The sequence below is a fragment of the Homo sapiens genome, chromosome 8 (genome assembly GCF_000001405.40).
Source record: "Homo sapiens chromosome 8, GRCh38.p14 Primary Assembly".
Lineage (NCBI taxonomy): Eukaryota > Metazoa > Chordata > Mammalia > Primates > Hominidae > Homo > Homo sapiens.
This window is the reverse complement of record NC_000008.11, coordinates 119,070,707-119,089,765: the sequence shown is the minus strand read 5'-3', so window position 1 is coordinate 119,089,765 and position 19,059 is coordinate 119,070,707. Positions and strand designations below refer to the sequence as shown.

The 19,059-nt window shown below is 38.3% G+C and overlaps 1 protein-coding gene across 3 annotated transcripts in view; it reads right to left on the bottom strand.

The window, feature by feature from the left end:
* COLEC10 (collectin subfamily member 10) overlaps nt 1-19,059 on the bottom strand; it is a 156,193-nt gene that overhangs the window by 18,690 nt on the left and 118,444 nt on the right. For all 3 annotated transcript variants that reach the window (NM_001324095.2, XM_005250756.4, NM_006438.5), the window contains one exon: nt 15-86. In NM_001324095.2, the coding sequence (NP_001311024.1) occupies nt 15-27 (13 nt within the window). In that variant the 5' untranslated portion in view covers nt 28-86. The remainder of the gene's footprint in view (nt 1-14; nt 87-19,059) is intronic.

Genomic DNA, 19,059 nt, shown 5'->3' with positions numbered 1-19,059 from the left:
ATCATTTTAGTTACCTTTCGGCCCCATGCGTCCCACTTTGCCATGCTTTCCCTCTTCTCCTGGATCTCCTTTTTCACCATCATCTCCTTTTGAAACAGAAAATGAGATAGAGTGAAGCATCTCAAACAGTAACATGAGCACATTCTCCCAGGGTAAGGTGGACATGGTTACAATCTTTCCCTCAGCTCAGCGCTTGCCTCACAATCCAGCTGTGAGTATGGATGTATGTTCACATGCACTTGACAATCAGGTGAAAGGAAGAAACTTCCAGTATATTTTTTACTTTTCTCCACATCCAACTCTATGTTTGAAGAAATATTCTTGTTGCTGAATTGTGATGTTTGGCCTGACAAATCTTTATTCTTGCTGTAGAATCTAGCAAATTCTGGATGGACAATAAACATAAAATTTACACAAACACACACGCACACACACACACACAGAGGCACACATAACTTATTACTCTCTGACTGCATGCTTGAGAACTCCAAAATTGTAGGCATGACCTAGGAAGCTAAGAATAGGAGACTAGGAATGGAGAAGCCACAAAGCAGTTTTCCATGAGTGGCAACTGTCTTAATCATAGGCAACTGTAGCTCCAGCACCTTGAAGAATTAAAGATTGAATGAATGGTTTAATGAACAATGCCCAGACTGAGAATCAGGAGTCTTGGATTTTAATGCCATGTTAGTCACTGATGGTTTGAACAAATCTTCAACAGGCCGGTGATTGAGTTTATTGGCTTTGGACTAGGAGAGATTTGACTGAAGTCTCAGCTCCACCACTCACTATCTGGAGAAATTTGAGTACAGAACTTCCCTCTCTGAGTCTCACTTTTCTCTCCAGCAAATTGATCTGATAACACCTACTGGAGTGGGCTTTCAGGAAGTTCAAATGAGACAACAGACATAGAACACCTGGGATACAATCAGTGCTTAGCAATGATGGCTGCTGTTTTTCTTTCCTTTATGCTTCCTTTCCTAAATGTGGGGATAGTATCTGCTCTCCAGGCCTCACTCAGTTGTTTTCGGATCAACAAGGTGAGCACGTGAATGTGCTTTGAAAACAAAGAACACAACACACACGATATTATGACCAGATACCTGCATTATCACCACAGCAATCTCAGGGCATGAAAGAGCCCTGTCCATCAGCAGATGAAAGGAGGAAAATCAAAACCTTCTAAAGACAAAAATGAAGTTCTTGGGATGAGACAGTTTGAGCGAGAGTAACTTGTGATGTTCATTGATTTATCCAGGAAAAAACACGACCAGAGATTGTCTCTTTTTATTTTTTTCTGAGTGCAGAATGTTGAAATTTTAAGTGAAAGCAAGGACAATGTATGGAAGAGTTGGATTTCCAGGTGTGAGATTGATCAAACATTGAAATACTTTACAAGGGAAGCTATAGATGCCTCCTAGGATGGCTTTCAGAAAAGAATGCACAGGTGATATCTGTGGTCAGACCAGAGGTAAGAATTGAGTGAACTAGATGAAATTTTTTTCTTCTTCTTTCTTTCTTTTCTTTCTCTTTCTTTTTTCTTTCTCTCTCTCTTTCCCTCCCTCCCTCCTTCCCTTCCTTTCCTTCCCACTCTCCTTCCTTCCCACTATTCCTTCCTTCTCTCTCTTTTTCTCTCTTTCTGACAGTGTCTTTCTCTGTCACCCAGGCTGGAGTGCAGTGGTGTGAACACAGTTCATTGCAGCCTTAACCTCCTGGACTCAAGTGATCCTCCTGTAGATTACATTTTTCTAGCTAAAGTTAACAGTGAATGTCTATTGAGCAATTATAAAGTCAGCCAAGCACAAGCTAAGGACTTGACATCTAGTCATCATAGCAATTCTAGGAGATGGAAACTCGTATTGCTCTATTTCATGAATGAAAAAAAAATGAGACTATGTGGTTAAGTTGCTTGCCTATTGTCATAGAGCTTTTAGTAGTCAAATGAGGATTCCACAACATGTACGTTTCTATCCCTCTAGATTCATCATGGTATACCGTTGTCCCTTTTGGTCTAGGTTCTGTGACTCTTAGCAGATGGTGGATTTTACAGAATTTGGCACCGTGCCAAATTTTTCAGGGCAAAAAGGGGGGTTGCAGAAAGAAATATAGTTTTTGTTTCCTTTTAGGCAAGAAAGATAGTGGGAGAAAAGAAAAAAAACAGCTTATTACTTAATGACTTTATTCACAGGAAATGTATCCTTGGGATGGGGTAGCATAACTGAGACACCACTTTGCCATTCACTGAGGGACTTTGGGAAGTCCTTTAACTTATCTGAGCTTTTTTCCATGCATTCATAGAATAGACAAAAATTACACTTTTTTTCCAGAGGGTGTTTAGCAAAGGTAAAGCTAGAAAAGTATTTTCCTTCAGGGAGTCCTTTCTAATACTCCCAGACTGGGCTAAATTCTCCCTCTAATTACCTTTGTTGCTTAAAAATAACACTTTATACCAAATGTGTCGGTGTATTTCCACTTATCTCTTACATTTCCCTGTGACCCAAAGCATGGTGGGATCATAAGTGATTTTTTCTAGCATCTCCAGAATTTAGCACAGTGCCTGGCTCTGGTGTTTAATAAATGTAGTTGAACTGAATACACTTTGTGTGAACCATAAGACATTCTACAAATATAATAGCAGTATTTATCAAATAGTTTGTGCCAAAAATGTTCTTAGCACTTGACATACAATCTATCATTTGATCCCCACAGCAAGCTTTGAGATGGATACTATCCTTTGCTCCATTTTACAGAAAAGGAAATGGGGTCACAGAGAGGTTAAGTAACATCCAAGGTCACATAACTCATAAGTGGTAAAGCCAGGATTCAAACAGGGGCATTTGTCCTCCTAGCCCATGTTCTGAACAAGCTGGATGATTTAGAACAAATTCCTGCCTTAGCATTTCTGGGTCTTGGATTCCTCTTCTGTACAATGAGACTAATGATGCGCGTCCTGCTCATGAAAAGGCAAGATAAAAACAAGCATATATGTGAAGCCCTTTGAGAATCAAAATGCCACACAGATGTGAATTATTGGTGCCATTATTCTTTCTCCTTCCTTCTTCCCCTTCTATAAGCTTTCCCATTTGTTTTCAAGCAAATGTCTAACCAGAGGCAGCCGGGTGAGTGACTTAGTGATCTACTGCTCCCTGGTGGCTCTTGATGGAGATCTGGGAGGGTGAAATAGGATTATTTATTATCCTTCAACCCATGTGACTGCATCCCAGCCTGGTGGCCAAGCAGGCTTCTGGCACAGATGAAGTAAACAACTTGAGCCCTAGCCTTCAGCATGGGTCCTGGGTTTGTTTGATCTTTGGTACTTACTTTAATGAGAACTGAAGGGAGATGTAAAAGCAAGCTTTGGATAGGGACCCCCCCCACCTCCCCGCCGACCTGGCTCACAGTTGTTTGTTTTTGTATTTACTGGATGAGTAGGACAATTTACACTATTTTACTTCATTTAGAAATAGCCACTTGTATTTGAAAATTAAGTGAAAAGCTATAAACTGAAATAAGCTAATTTCAATTTTACAAAAATTATTTGCTTTGCTCACACCCACTCCCCAAGCCACCAGCAGAATTCCAACACAGCACACATTTGACCGCATTTTCTTAGATAGGACTTTTCCCCCTGCCCAATTAGCAAAATGTCTTTTAAAATTGAATTCTAGTTGGAATCCAGGCCAGTACCCTTTACTCAAAGGAAATACTTATTAAAAAGTAGTGAATTATTTTGGAGATGCTAAAATTAATTAATTAAAATCCTTTTCCCTTTGTCAAAACAATCTTATAGACTGGGGAGTTGTTGTTAGTAACCTTTCTCCTGATCAGCCTTAGAATTGAATGGGATAGACTGGGCATGGTGGATGACGCCTGTAATCTCAGCACTTTGGGAGGCCGAGGCGGGTGGATTGTTTGAAGTCAGGAGTTCAAGACCAGCCTGACCAACATGGTGAAACCCTGTCTCTACTAAGAATACAAAAATTAGCTGGGCCTGGTGGCAGGTGCCTGTAATCCCAGTTACTCAGGAGGCTGAGGCAGGAGATCGCTTGAACTCGGGAGGCAGAGGTTGCAGTTTGTGCCACTGCACCCCAGCCTGGTGATAGAGCGAGACTGCATCTCAACAGCAACAACAACAACAACAACAAAAAAAAAAAAAAAAAAAAAAAGAAGAAGAAGAAAGAAGAAGAAAGAAAAAATAAAGAATTGAATGGGATAGCTGGTATGTTGTGATTTCTTAACAAGGCAAGAACTCCTGCCTAAAATATATCCTTCCCACTCCTACTTACATCTTCTTCCCATCTATGCCAATTGCATCCTCATTCTTGGAAATTTCAGTAGTCATCAATTATGCCCCATACCTCTTACATACATGACATGTACCAGTAGAGTCATAAAACAAACCACTCCCTAGTACTTTTACTTCCCCAACCTCAACCTCATCACTTCACTGAAATCTTCAGGCCTCATTGGGACCTGCTATTGTTAGCCTTCTCCCCATTCATCCATTTTATCATTCCCTTGGTGCCTTCACCTACCCAACCTGCCTACTCCTGGCTATCCTGAATTCTTTCAAGTCAGCCACTTCTGCACAGCTTTCCCTAAGGCAAAGAGAGTGCACTGCCTTGGTTAAGAGTACTCTGAAACAAGCCATTTCATTTCTTCCAATCTCAGTTTTCTCATCCAAAATGGAGAGAATAATCCCAACCTCATAGGATTGCTGTGGATTAATGGAGACAGTGGATGAAAAGTGTTCAACACCATGCCTGTCTCATTTGGTAAACTCATCAGTGTCTGCTTTAATGAGAATAGAAGTAGATAAGTGATTATTTCTTAGTATTCACTACCTCAATCTCTATTATATAATCATTACTTACTCTTTTACTTGGCTGTGTTTTTTTTACCCTTTATTGTAAAACTTTTCACATAATTAAAGATAAAAACCCATTACTGAGATTTACCAATTAGCACATTGTCATTGCTTCATGTATTTATTTTTGCTATATTTTTTAAAAAAGTAAATTATAGACATGAACATATCTCCCTTAAGTACTTCAGTAAGTGTTTTTAAAGGGTAAGAACAAACTCCTATATAAACATATTATCATTATATCAATCTTGCTTTTTAAAGGGCTGTAGGCATTTGAAAAAGTCACCTTGATAGAGTTCTGTGATCTTGTTCATCTCAAGCCCACACTGCTGTGCTATATACAATCTCATACAAGGAAGAAATGAGTAGTTAGAAGAGAAGTAGACATTCAGAGGAGTAAGCCTAAGTCCTTTGAAAACAAATCATGACAAATAATTCCATTTTCTCTTCTGAAAGAACTGATAGATCAAGAAACTGACTTGGACAGAGTGGTTGGAAGAAGAAAAATTTCCACTGGTGATTCACAGAAGGGAGTAATTCCTGGAAAGGTGGGATGACGTATTGATGAAGCCCAGGGGAGGGTCCTGACCTTGCATATTCAGGCGTCAAATCTTAATCACATTGCTTATCAGCTCTGTGAACTTAGCTATGATATTTAAACTCTCAGTGCTCCCATTTTCTTATCTATAATTGGAAATAACTAGAGTGCTTACCTGTTCTAGAGTCTCCCATCCTGGGGGTGGCTCCCTCACTCTGAGACCCATACTACTTTGATTCACTTTAATAGCTTTGTGATGGAAATTTAGGGGAAGCTTTCTTTGTATGTCTTTTAATAAAAACATAAAAAGCAAGCAAGCATGGATTTTGAATGAAGACTAATTTGTAGACATTATACGTTTGCAACCATCATTGTCATGAGGCAGGTTATCTGTGGAAAAGGGAGGCCCAGACCCTGGCAACGTTGCTCTGAAAGCTCAGTACAATGGACAAAATAGGAATTTTATAGTCACACATACTTAGGCTCAACTCCTGAATTTACTATATAACAGCTATTTAATCTTATACTAAATAATTTATACTTACATTTTAACGTAATATACTGAATTTAATAAATTATTTAATTTTAATTAATTTTATTAAGTAATTTGTCAAATTATTTGATAAATTATTTAAACTTACATTAAATCTTATACTAAATAATTAACCTTCCTGCTTTAGTTTCCTATCCGGGAAAATGGGGATGATGACCCTTTTCTCATGGAGTTACCTAAAGATTAAGTAAGATTATGGGTAAAATTCATCAAAGAGCTGCTTGCATGGAATGTGCTCTCACTGATGCATAAATATTGCAAGCATACTGAGCATTTTTTGCTTTCATTTTCTTGGTATCCACTCCCTGGGCTTCAGTTAACAGCTCCACAGTTTTCTGCAGGAAATCACACTTACTCATTCTCAATCCATATGGTTTAGACCGTATCCACAGTAATTCATTCAGCAATTCACATGTGACCCAATAAGAGCCCACAAGTCTCATTTTGAGGATTTTATTTAGAACTTTCAAAAATGGAGACTTGCTCTTTCTGCAGGAGTCTCAGAGAGGATAGACTATCATTGAAGAATCCGAATCTATTTTGACACCATTAAGAGAGAACCCACATTACAGTCATTACAGGGGAAAGCAGAATGGTGTGAAGACTCATCCCAGAACACGTGACTTGAGCAGCTGGACCTAACTCAGATTGAATCCCTTCCTGTTACATGGGTCTATGAATTCCCCTGCTTTTCTCTGTGTGTTTGGTTGACGAGTGTAAGTTTGGTTTGTGTTGACCTCTTTCACTTGCAAACACAAGTTTCTTTACTAGTACAAACACTAGATAATGATTATGAGAGGTTCCTTCCCAGGAAGAGGTCAAAGCCTCAGGAGAAGATGGACAAAGAAGCAGATAATTACTGTGAGAAATGCTGACAGTCGCTGCTGTGGGAGCACAAAGGAGGAAACACCTAACCCTACCTGCCCACACTTCAAACTCTCCACTATTCTTTGTCAGAAAGAAGTAAATAGGATCCTTTAGACTGAGCTCCACCAGAATAAACTTACACTGTAAGGTAAATACAAAGAAAATAAGCTAAAATACAAATTGTCCTTATATGAGGGCAGGCTGGTGCTAAAATGTCTTCGCCAATGAAATATTATGTGGATTTTTGTCTTCTGTTGAACTTCTTGTACCTCGTCAGTTCAGCTCATGTGCTACCTCCTCTCCCAAGGAGTCCTCTCAGTACAGATTTTCCTGCCTCCATCTCCGTCTTCAATGGTCAGAACTAAACTAACTCCCTGGAGGGAAATCCCCTCTCACTTTATAGTGTCCTATTGCATTGTGTCATAGGTGATAAGACAGGTCAGGGATGATAGACTGTATTCCTAGCACTTGGCACAGAGTCTGAGAAGCAGTAAATAGGTGATTGCTCAATAATTGTTTTCAAAATAAAAGGAGTAACATCCTTAAAGACAAGGTAGATAAATGTGAGCTTAATGACAATACAGTCAAATGAGTTTGTAATTGATTGAAATGTCTTTCTCAATAATGGCTGATTAATGGATTGACTCCAGCCTGCTGGGAGGTCTGTGCTGATGGCCAATAATCTCATAAGGCAGCCCAGGTGGCAAATACACACACCACTGCCTCTACTGCTTCTGTCCACTCCATATTCTTCTTTCTTCTTCTAATTTACCTTTGTCTCTCAATATTACAGTCATGCTCTAATTTCCAAGGCTCAGTACCCGAATCAGCTTCCTCACTCTCATCTTGATTCTTATCATATGTTCACTCTCTCTTTCTTTTTCCTCCCATCCCTGCTGCTGTTATTTTACATCTTCCTGTCTTTATGCTGTAACCATATTCCTTACAGGTGATTCCTAACGATTTTCATTGATGTATCTCAAGTGCCTAGAATAGTGTCTGTTCAATAAATTGTTCTTGAAATATTGGTTTCCTTGAATCTGAACTTCACTTTTCCCAACTATCTTGCAAATTAATCTTTATTAAATCATATTTCCACCATTCTACTATCCAATTCAAAATGTTTCAACAGTTCTGTGTTTATAGGCCACTTCAAAGTAATTAGTCTAGTATGTGAACCTTCACAGGCTGGCATCAGTGGAACTTTCCCATATTATTTTCTGACATTCTGATAAATGGCTCATTTAATTTATATACACTCATTACAACCCAGGAGTTTCTCTGCTGCACAACCTTCTATTCCTGTCCAACCTGTTCATTCATTGTTCATCAAAATGTCTTTCAGTTCCTGCCTCCATCGAAAAACATTTTTTTCATTTTCAATTAATCTGTTTAGAGAAGAATCTAAAAGTCATAAAAGGAAAGATAGACATATATAGCATATGAGAAATTCAAAGAGATATAAATACGCAAAGTTTATAAACGAATGATAAGGGAGAAAAACACTAAGGCATAAAAAATTAGTAATATTTTTAATATGCAAAGAGCTTTTGAAAATTGATTTGCAAAAAGGACAATAAAATAAAAATATCTAAAAATATAAGCAATAAATAATAGATGAAAATGTCCAGATTATTAGAGAAATATATGTATGTATAAGTCTGTATCATATTTCATCATCAGATTCACATCCAAAGATGCTGTAAATGCAGATAGCTGAATGTTATCATTCATTGTTCTTGGCTATGTAAATTGCTACAACATTTCTGGAAAATAATAGTCAATAATGATTAAAATAAAGAACATGCATACCCTAATTTGCCTTAGGCAACCTATTTTATAGGAGTAACAGTAAAAACAAATGGATAAATAAGAATGTTTGTAGTGGCAAAAACAAAAACTGTAAACAAACAAAATGTATCATCATGGGACCGATTAAAAATAAAAGGATTACAGTAACATTACCATGATTAAAATTATATTCAAAATACAATATTATACTGATACTAAAAATAAGGAGTTAGCAAAAGCTCTTGGATATAGAGTGAGCTCCATGTTACATATAGAAAGTCTCTTAGGGAGTATTATATTTGTGTATGTATGACATCATTTAGAGAAGGAAGGAATAAATTAGAGAAAAGTATTAATACTAAGCTATTAATGATGTCTACGGGGGAGAAGAGGGTTCAGAGAGGGAAGGGTGATGGTAAAAAGAGATATCATTAGCTTTTTCTTTACATCTTCATTTTATACATCCTTACATAGGTTACATGTTACAACAAGCACAGAACCCTCTTGCAACATAAAACATAAATAATAAATGATGTAAATGGAACTATGGCTCTTTATCTCTTTATAAATCCTACCCACAAGTCCTGTCTCAAGTTAAATTCTAATTTCTCTGAATTTATTGATGGAGTTATATCCTTGATAATTCACCATCTGGTTCCTTGTTACTATTTTCTAATTGTTGCCTTGGAGTATTATTTAAATAATGCAATATTATTTAACTGTTTGTATTAATGTCAAATATTTAATTAAAGTGTAAGTTCCTTGTGATAAGAACAGATATTCTACACTTTGCTCTTGACTGTTGTCCAAAAACTCACAATTTTCTTACTTGTTTGTTCGTTGGCCAATTTTTACTGCATTTCTACTAGCTACCAAGCTGTGTTGTGTCCTAGCGATACAGGATTACCTTGGACAAGATATGATCTATGCCCAGAAGTTTGATGGGGTGGGAGGAGACACTGAACGCAGTCTTTCAAATGAGTAGGTTACAACTGGCATCCAACAAAGCAAGGCTTTGGAAAGATCAATGACACAGGAGTCAGGAGACTTGGCTTTTAACTCATCCTGTGTTGCTTTCTCCCCAAATGACAAGATAAAATATCGAAGGAGAAAACAAAATGAATAGTTTTCATTTTCAATATTAACATGCTAAACAAATGCAAGGAAACACAATATGTAAGGAAATTAATTTATCTAATAAAAATATCAATGTCAATATGGATAATCACTAACATTTATGGGGTGCTTACTAGAGTCCAAGCCAGGTCATTGATGGGTGTGATTATTATCTCAACTCACCCCTTAATTGTGCCCTATCAATTCCAGGGACCCATGAACTTCATTTCCCCTTCAGCTAGTTCCTCTGCAACCTAGCAAAGAAAACAACTGGGGATTTCAAGTATCCTACAGTCTCTCCTATCTGAATTACAAAGTATCTTTTTTTGTCGTTTTCAAGCTTATTTGGCTTAAAAAGAACGATCACTTGGAGCCTGCAATTATTTTGCAGTCATTGCATGTCTGAGTAAGTGGGTGGGGGTGGGAGGGTGGGAACTAACACTGTACTTAATGAAAAATGCAACATTAAGTTTTGTTAGGCAGGTTTCCTTCAGCCTTCACATATCATTCATTATTAAAATGCATTCTCAGTCAGGCCCATAGAAACAAAAACAAAGAGAAATCCCATCAATTCAGGACTAAGTGGCATGCTTCTGCAATGCAATGCAGTTGTTAAGAGCATAGGATCTGGGATCAAAGCGCTTGGTTCAAGTCCAGGCTCCATCACTGAAAGGGTATGGGACTTTAGCAACCCATTTAAATTCTTTAAGCCTCAGTTTGCTCATCAGCAAGTCAGAATAATGAAGTGCCTCCCTCACAGGGTTGCTGTGAGCAGTAAATGTGGTCATGCACATGAAGAGCTTAGAAGAGTGCTTAGAAGGTAGTGAGAGCTCCAGAATATTACATTATTACATTATGCCAGTAGCATCCAAGGGGCCATGAGGAATTTCTAGTCACTAGAAATGAAAGAGGTACAAGGAAGAGGACAAGGGGGAAGGAAGCCTTTATGAGACCTTACCCTGTCATGCAGATTTGCAACATCCTGGTTGGTGTGTGTGTGTGTGTGTGTGTGTGTGTGTGTGTGTGTGTGTGTGTGTGTGTGTACGTTTTCCCAGAGCAGATTTATGCTTTTGGCATCTAAACATTTACAACACTCTGTATATGTAACATACAATATTCTCTCTCAAACTCATTTCAGTACAAAGTGAGTTAGAAACAAATTTAAGGAGAAAGTGTAGTATTGTTATTAAATGTAGTTATTAGGTTGGTGTTAAAGTAATTGCAGTTTTTGCCATTACCTTTGATAACTGTATTATTATGTATACCAACATCTCAGTCTATGAACATCTCAGGTATCTGTGAGAACTGTAGTATCCTCTTTGATAATCATCAATCACTAAATGAGACAAAATATAAAAACTGTAAGTCAAGATGATGGGCTACGTGATTAGTTTTTCTAGAAAAATAATGCCTCAGAAATATTTATGATATCTATTTCCAACTGCCTGCTGGAATTTTCCATTGATGTTCACATGTAACTCAAACACAATTAAGAACTCGTAATCTCCCAATTTTACTTCTGAAGTACCTCTCTATTGCACCCCATTCTCTCTATTCCAACAGCCCTAATTCAACTCTTGTCTTTCATTTATGTCCCACTAAGACCTTCTCATATCCTTCAGTCTATCTTCAACCCTGCTAAGAGATTTCTCTGCCTAAGAAGCAAATCTAATGTTGTTCTACTCAAAGACTTCCACTGGCTCCTCTGGTTTAAACTATCATTTGGTTGACTGGATCAGATACAAACAATCTCACAACTTCTGCAAAATAACTATGAAAATTATGTGGAAAAGAAAACCCACTGTTCAATTAAAATTAGGTTAGCAGATGACATGGTTTGATGTGTGTCCTCTCCAAATCTCATGCTGAAATGTAATCCCCCTTGTTGGAGGTGGGGCCTGGTAGGTTGTGTTTGGGTCATGTAGGAGGATCTCTCATGCATGACTTGGTGCTCCTCTTGTGGTAATGAGTGGGTTCTCACTCTCAGTTTACACAGGATCTGGTTATTTGAAAGAGTGTGACACTATCGTCCTTTCTTTTGCTCTTCTGCCATGATTGTATATTTCCTGAGGCCCTCACCAGAAGCAGATGGTGGCACCAAACTTTTTGTACAGTCTGCAGAAACATGAACAAAATAAACCTCTTCTTTATAAACTACCCAGTTTAAGGTATTCCTTCATATTATGGCAACATAAAATGGATTAATGCAGCAGACAAGTATAATAAGTTATTATTTATGTGGAAGCCATTGGTGCTAAAATAAAAAAAAGAATAATTCTGTGTTCTACCTTATTAAAATGTCAATCCTATCCACTGAAAAGGGGGCAGGATAACACTTAGTTAGTTCCTCCTCCATTGAACATCCTTTGCTCTAAGACTCAGAGTCTTTACTAACCAGAAAACTGAGTCAATAACTTTGTTGCACTGGTGGTGTTTTTTGATGCTATAGAATTCCATGCTCTACCCTCTCCACTGCCCAGTCATTTTTCTACATTTCTAAAATTAAGACCAGAAAGGATATAGAAGAGGTAATGATATGACCCATTTTAGGAGATTATCTTCCCATTAATAAAGCCCTGTGGGCAGATGCTGGGACACCTTGGCAGTTGAGAATGCTGGACATTTTAGTTTTGCATACACTCTTCTGTTCAGAGTTAAAATATTACAGAATCAAAAAGAGGGAGCAGAAAAAAATTTAACATTGGTGTGGCTAGGCCACATTAGAATAATACCAACATGGTATTGTCTCCCAAATCATGGAGAGGCAAAAAAAAAAAAAAAAAAAAAAAATCATTCTCTACCCAGGCTAATCAAAATTTCGAGCTCATTTTAATTGGAAAAGTAAAATGTCATCTTAAGTGTGCTCCAATTGAGGAAAGCAGGTCATATCCCTTGCCTTTGTACATTTTATGTGAGCTTTATTTCAGAGTATTTGGTCTGTGGCTGTGGTCTAGCACTGGCTTTGCCCCAGAATCATTGGTGACATTGTCCAGCTTTGCCATTCAAGTGAAGCATGGTGCTAGGGTGACACTGATAAATTGGTTCCAGAGACTTTCCTTTATGGTGTATCAAAGTCCCCCCAACCCACGCACATTTCTTTGGGAGCTTTCACTTTTGTCTAGAGTATATTTTCACACTTGCTGCCACACTGCATCCCTCAACTTCCCATTGGACATATGGGCCTCTTTCTTTTGGTTGTCCTGTCGTTTGGTCACCCAGTATGTGGTCTGATGAGAGAAAGATGACTTTTTCACAACTTTTGGCTCTGACTGGCAAAATCTTTTTCTAAATCCTGTTTCATTTCAGGCCAGGCAGAACCACACTATCAAAACTATTTTTGACTGCACTCAATGCTACAATGTCTTGCACATACACTTATCCCTGGGCAGCATCAAATAAATGACCTTCAAAATCTATAAGCTCTTGAATGCAGATAATAATAAGAGTTATCTGTTTAAAGAATTTTGTGTTGGCTGGGCATGGTGGCTCACGCCTGTAATCCCAAAACTTTGGGAGGCCTAGGCGGGTGGATCACCTGAGGTCAGGAGTTCAAGACCAGCCTGGCCAACATGGTGAAACCCCATCTCTACTAAAAATACAAAAAATTAGCTGGATGTGGTGGCAGGTGTCTGTAATCCCAGCTACTCAGGAGGCTGAGGCAGGAGAATTGCTTGTACCTGGGAGGCAGAGGTTGCAGTAAGCAGAGATCATGCCATTGCTCTCCAGCCTGGGCAACAAGAGCAAAACTCCGTCTCAAAAAAAAAAAAAAAAGAATTTTGTGTCCTCAGCACATCTATCCTGTCTTATTAAGATATGGCTGATTGGCTGGATGTGGTGGCTCACTCCTGTAATCCCAGCACTTTGGGAGGCCGAGGCAGGCGGATCACGAGGCCAGGAGATCAAGACTGTCCTGGCTAACATGGTGAAACCCCGTCTCTACTTAAAAAAAAAAAAAAAAAAAAAAAATTAGCCGGGCGTGGTGGTGGGTGCCTGTGGTCCCAGCTACTCGGGAGGCTGAGGCAGGAGAATGGCATGAACCCAGGAGGCGGAGCTTGCAGTGAGCCGAGATCGCACCACTGCACTCCAGCCTAGGTGACAGAGCGAGACTCTGTCTCACAAAAAAAAAAAAAAAAAAAAAAAAGATATGGCTGATCATTCTTGAGATGAGATGACATCATCTCATTTAACAGAGCTCAGTTTCTCTCATCAGTTGGGTTGATTAGGGTCCTCTCTTCATAGTTAGGGAGGTAGAATGGGGGGCACAGGGTTTCTCCTCAGATAACTCACAACTGTGTGGTCAAATCGCATGCAAGAGCAGTAGCAGTGTGCTTTAGTTTCCTTCTCCTTAAAATAAGAGTGATGATCCTTATAGGTGTCAGTTGAGCCTAAATAGAATAATGGATTAACCTTTGTAAATTCTAAAGAATGACTCCTGTTCATATAATTTGTTTAACAGATACAAGTGTCTTCCAGTGATCACAAGAGACCTAAACTCATGCTTCCAAGAACTGTTGAATCAAGAACAATAGCAGTAAATAATTTGAAAAGAAACCCCACATTAGTTAGGCGCTACTTTACTTGAATCTCTGAGTGTCAGATTTTTACTGTGTATATGTACAATTCTTTTCTAAAAGAGCAGAGAAAGCTATAAAATATAATTTAAAGAATTGTATTAAATGATAGGCTATTGCACATCCAATGCATAATGCAAAAAAACAGACACACTGGTTATGGGTTGAAATATCATGAAGAAATGTGAAGAGTCTAACCACTCCATGCTAACAGAGTTACCAAGTTTCTACAAGTAGAATTTTATAAATATAAGCAAGAGACGTAAGAGAGAAAGAGAGAATTTGTGCCTGGCCTATATATCATCAATGACCCAAGGCCAGTAGAATAGCCTGCCTGTATGGCATAGACAGTAGCTAAAGGAAAAGTTTCTTAAAGGAAGAAGGAAGAACGATAAACAGGAAACACAATCTCATTCTCCCTTGGGTTTTGCTCTCCCATGGTTTGCTCTTATTTACAGAGCCCCTGAGACTACTTCAAGTGCTAAGAGCTTTACGCGGCTTAACTCATTTTTCCTCACCACATCCCTATGAAGAAGTCACACTATTATCATCCTCATGTTACTGATGAGAAATCTGAGGTTCAGTTTTCTGTGTTTTCACTCATGCAATCCCCATGACAACCCTAGGCGTATTTACCACTGTTATTTCCATTTTACTAATAAGGAACGCCAGGCTCAGTTGGAGAGCTACAGAAAGGAAGCAATATCAGCGAAGAGAAGAGGTGGTCTCAAGTTTGTGAGCTCTTGACAAATAAAAGTTGACTTTGGAGTAAGACTGAAAACAGGCAGAAAATTGTGATAAGTAGGAGAAAGGAGCAGTCTTTCCCTGGTATGTTTCTATTTGGGGAGCTGACTTCACAATCTATGAGCCTTTCTTTAGGAATGGGGGAGAGAGCTGTTGGTAACAAACAGTAGTGGAGACTAGTGAAAGAAATGATAGGTAAGCTATATACTAGACATGTCTCAATTTTCAAAATAAGCATTTGAGGTGGGCAATATGATCTCCATTGTATTTTTAAATTTTTTTAATTTTTAATTTTTGTGGGTGCATAGTAGGTGTATACATTTATGGGGTGCATGAGATATTTTGGTACAGGCATGCAATGTGTAACAATGACATCATGGAAAACTGGGTATACTCAAGCATTTATCCTTTGTGTTACAATGTAATTATACTCTTTTAGTTATTTACAAATGTACAATTAATTTATTACTGGCTATAGTTCCCCTGTTGTCCTATCAAATATTAGGTCTTATTCATTCTTTCTATTATTTTTGTACCCATTAATTGTCTCTAGGTCCCCCCACTCCCCTTCCTAGCCTCTGTTAATCATCTTTCTATTCTCTATCTCCATGAGTTCAGTGTTTTGGCCATTTTATGGATGAAGACATTTAAGCTTAAGATCGTATAGCTAGGTAAGTGGCAGAGCTCAGATTCAAAACTATATATATACACGTATATATATGTGTGTATATATATACGTGTATATATATGTGTATATGTGTATATATGTGTATATATGTACGTTTTATATATACACATATATACATATATAAAAGTCTATGATATATACATATAAAAGCCCATGATCTTCACATACATATAAATGCATATTACTATGATCTCTACTAGTGATTAATACATATCCAAATTATTATGTAAGAGAGTTGGAGAGAGACATGGCTTATTAAATTCATACTAAAATGAAACAAATCATTTTTTATCATTACCATTTAGTACTACTTCCTGATTCATCTTTACCTACACTTTTATTGACTGGAATTTTATTCTTCCTTTCATGACCTAAACTTGAAATGCCTTCTTAGTATCTACCTAAAGGAAAAGAGAGATGAAAAATTGTTCTAAGTATCGATACACTGAAATATAAAAGTTAAAAAAAAACAAACCACTGAAAATATTGGTCTGTCCTTATGCATAAAATACATATTAAAACACATAATGAAAGAATCTAGTGAATTAATACAATTAATAAAAAGTTTTGGGAAAACACCTAGTTGTTTACCCTTTCTGATAGTTACCAGAAAAGAATCAGCAACTTAACTTGCATCAAGGTGACTGAGCTAGAATAGTTCTGTGTCATGTTTATACATTGATCTCATGAACTCCTTTTCTAATGTTAACTTATAAAACCAACTAATCATTTTATGCTTAATGAGAAAGATATAAGGTGAGGAAAATGATGTAACATGGAAGAATGGAACAATGCCTGCTCCAAAAATCTGGAATCTGATTTCTAGTTCTAGTCCTGCTGCCTATTAGCAGCTGCATGACCTAGAACAAGTTATTTTACCTCTCTGGGCCTCAGTTTTCACAAAAAGTAAAAGTAACTGGAGTTAAACCAAATTATCCCTGAGGGTGACCTTACAGGTAGTAAGACTTCCAGTTTGAGTATGAAAAATATCTGGACTTTCCTGGGCATATCTGTCTATCCGTTTGGGGAAGTCACAAAATGTCCTATTTGTGTTGGGGGCTGAGAAGTATCTTGGGAAATAATTCAAGTTGTGTCAATTGCTGGGATCCAGAGCCATGTCCAGTAAAATAGTGGATGGCCAAATAGAAATCTATTTTTCAGTTGCTAAGAGGTCTTCTGAGAAAGGAATTATCCCAGAGGATAGGGGTGAGTGCTGTAAGGCTTTACTCATGGCATAGCCTCTCTCATCAGAGTGGAGCAGCAACCGGGCAGAGCTTGTATTGTCTGACACTCAGGTGTGTGCTCTGGAGTTCCACAGGGACCAAGGGGGCTTTAAGTAAAGAGACTGAAGTAGACATTTCCTCTGGCCCCATAAAACACTGAGGTGCCATCAACACTGTGTAGGGGCCTCTCTGGCTTGCTAGTGGTTTTAGCAGGTTGATTGGAACATAGGGCCCAACTAGAACTTAACTGGGTTTTAATTTCCTCTTCTGGCTCTGTGGCCTTGAGCTAGTGACTTAATAATTCTTACCTCAATTCCTTCATCTGTTCAATGGGAATGATAAAGTCTTTTTTTCTCAAAAGTCCATTGAGATAATAAAGTATTTTTCCTCAAAGTTCACTGAGATAATAAAACCTTTTTGCTCAAAGTCCATTGAAATAATTAAATTTAAACATGGTTGTCAAGCACTCACACAGTGCTGGGTGAATGGCAGCTACTCAGTGTGTGCTCAGCTACTCAATGTGTGCTCAGCTACTCAATGTGTGCTAGCAATCTTGCTCCTGTCACCCCATTGGATGTGGTGATTAGAGTCATGCTGAAAGGGAAAGAGCTTTGCTCTGCCTTGTGGTTTGATCACAGACCACATGTGTGGAGGAGTCATGATGGTTACCCATGGGAATCACAGTGTCCTCAGAAGCGTCAGAAAGGCTTCCTTAGTGAAGGAGGCAGCAGTGTGTTAGTGGCTAGGCAGAGACAGAGGCACCTGGGAAGCAGAGGCACTGTTGTAATTAGGAGAAAAGCAGTGGCCCCTGGCAGGGAGGTTCTTAGGTTGTTGGAGAAGTGGCACAATGGCCATGGCCCCCAGGAGTAGTCCTTTTTTGGGAGCATGTGCAACGGTTTTTAGCAACTTCAGGACATACTTAGAGGATATTTTGAAATAGTTGTGTTAATAGATTAATACCTCAAATTAAAATGTTGGGGGTCTTTCATGGAAAATTTGGGTAGATTCATTTAATCAAAAATATGTATTGAGCACCCACTATGTGTCGGGAGCTCTTCTAGGTTTAGAAAACCATGCTCAGCAAGAAGGACTGGTATCCTTGTCCATTCGGGAAGCTTGCACTCCAGGACTGATTCTACATGCATCAATACACAAGATATTTTCACTTAGTAATAAGCCTGTGAAAATAAAACACCATGGGAACTATGACAAAGAGTACAGGGGTAGGTAGGCATGGCCTTGCTGCACAGATGGCATTTGAGCTAAGACCTCCATGAGGAGAAGGAACTATCCTTGGGAAGATCTGGGTAAGTGTGGGCCAGGCAGAGGAGCCATCAAGAGCCAACGTCCTGAGTCAGGAAGGAGAGCCAAGACCAGCATGCCCATTGAAAAGCAAAAGTGAAAAGAGCAGTTTGAAATGATATGGGAGAAGCTGAGAGAAGCCAGTTGGAAACAAGACCTTGTAGGTCACACACACAAAAATGTCATTGAAAAGGCCCTACTAAAAAGCTAGCAAACATCAAAATAAGCAATAGGGTAAAATAACATTATTTCCAAACAAATTAATGAAGTAATGAAGTTGATTATCAAAGAGGAGATATGCCATCATTTTCAGCATATTTTAGTACCCAAGACAATGCCGGGCTGTGAGGTTTCGTGATGTCATGTTCTTTGACTTTGCCCTGTACATTTTTTTAATCACCAAAATGTGACTGGGGGACTGTATTTTCTAACCTGATATATAACTAGTATAAACTAGTGGATGTCATGAAATGACACTGGACTTGGAGCCAGAAGGCCCAGGGTCAAGTTCAAGTTGCAAGATTCCACCTGCTGAAAGAACTCGGGCACTTCCCTTGGCCCCGCTGGAATTGTTTCCTTAGGTCTAAGTTTAAAGAAATTGGTACCACATAGGGAAATTGTGGAAATTAAACAAGACAATGATTTTAAAGGTCCTTGAAAATTGTAAAGCATCATCCACATTTATTGGTTAAAATCATTTTTTAACATGTTTTGTTTAAAACTTGTCTCTCTTTTGCTTTGTGTCCATTTATTTTTCTTTTAAATTTTTTATGAATACATAATAGCTGTACATATTTTA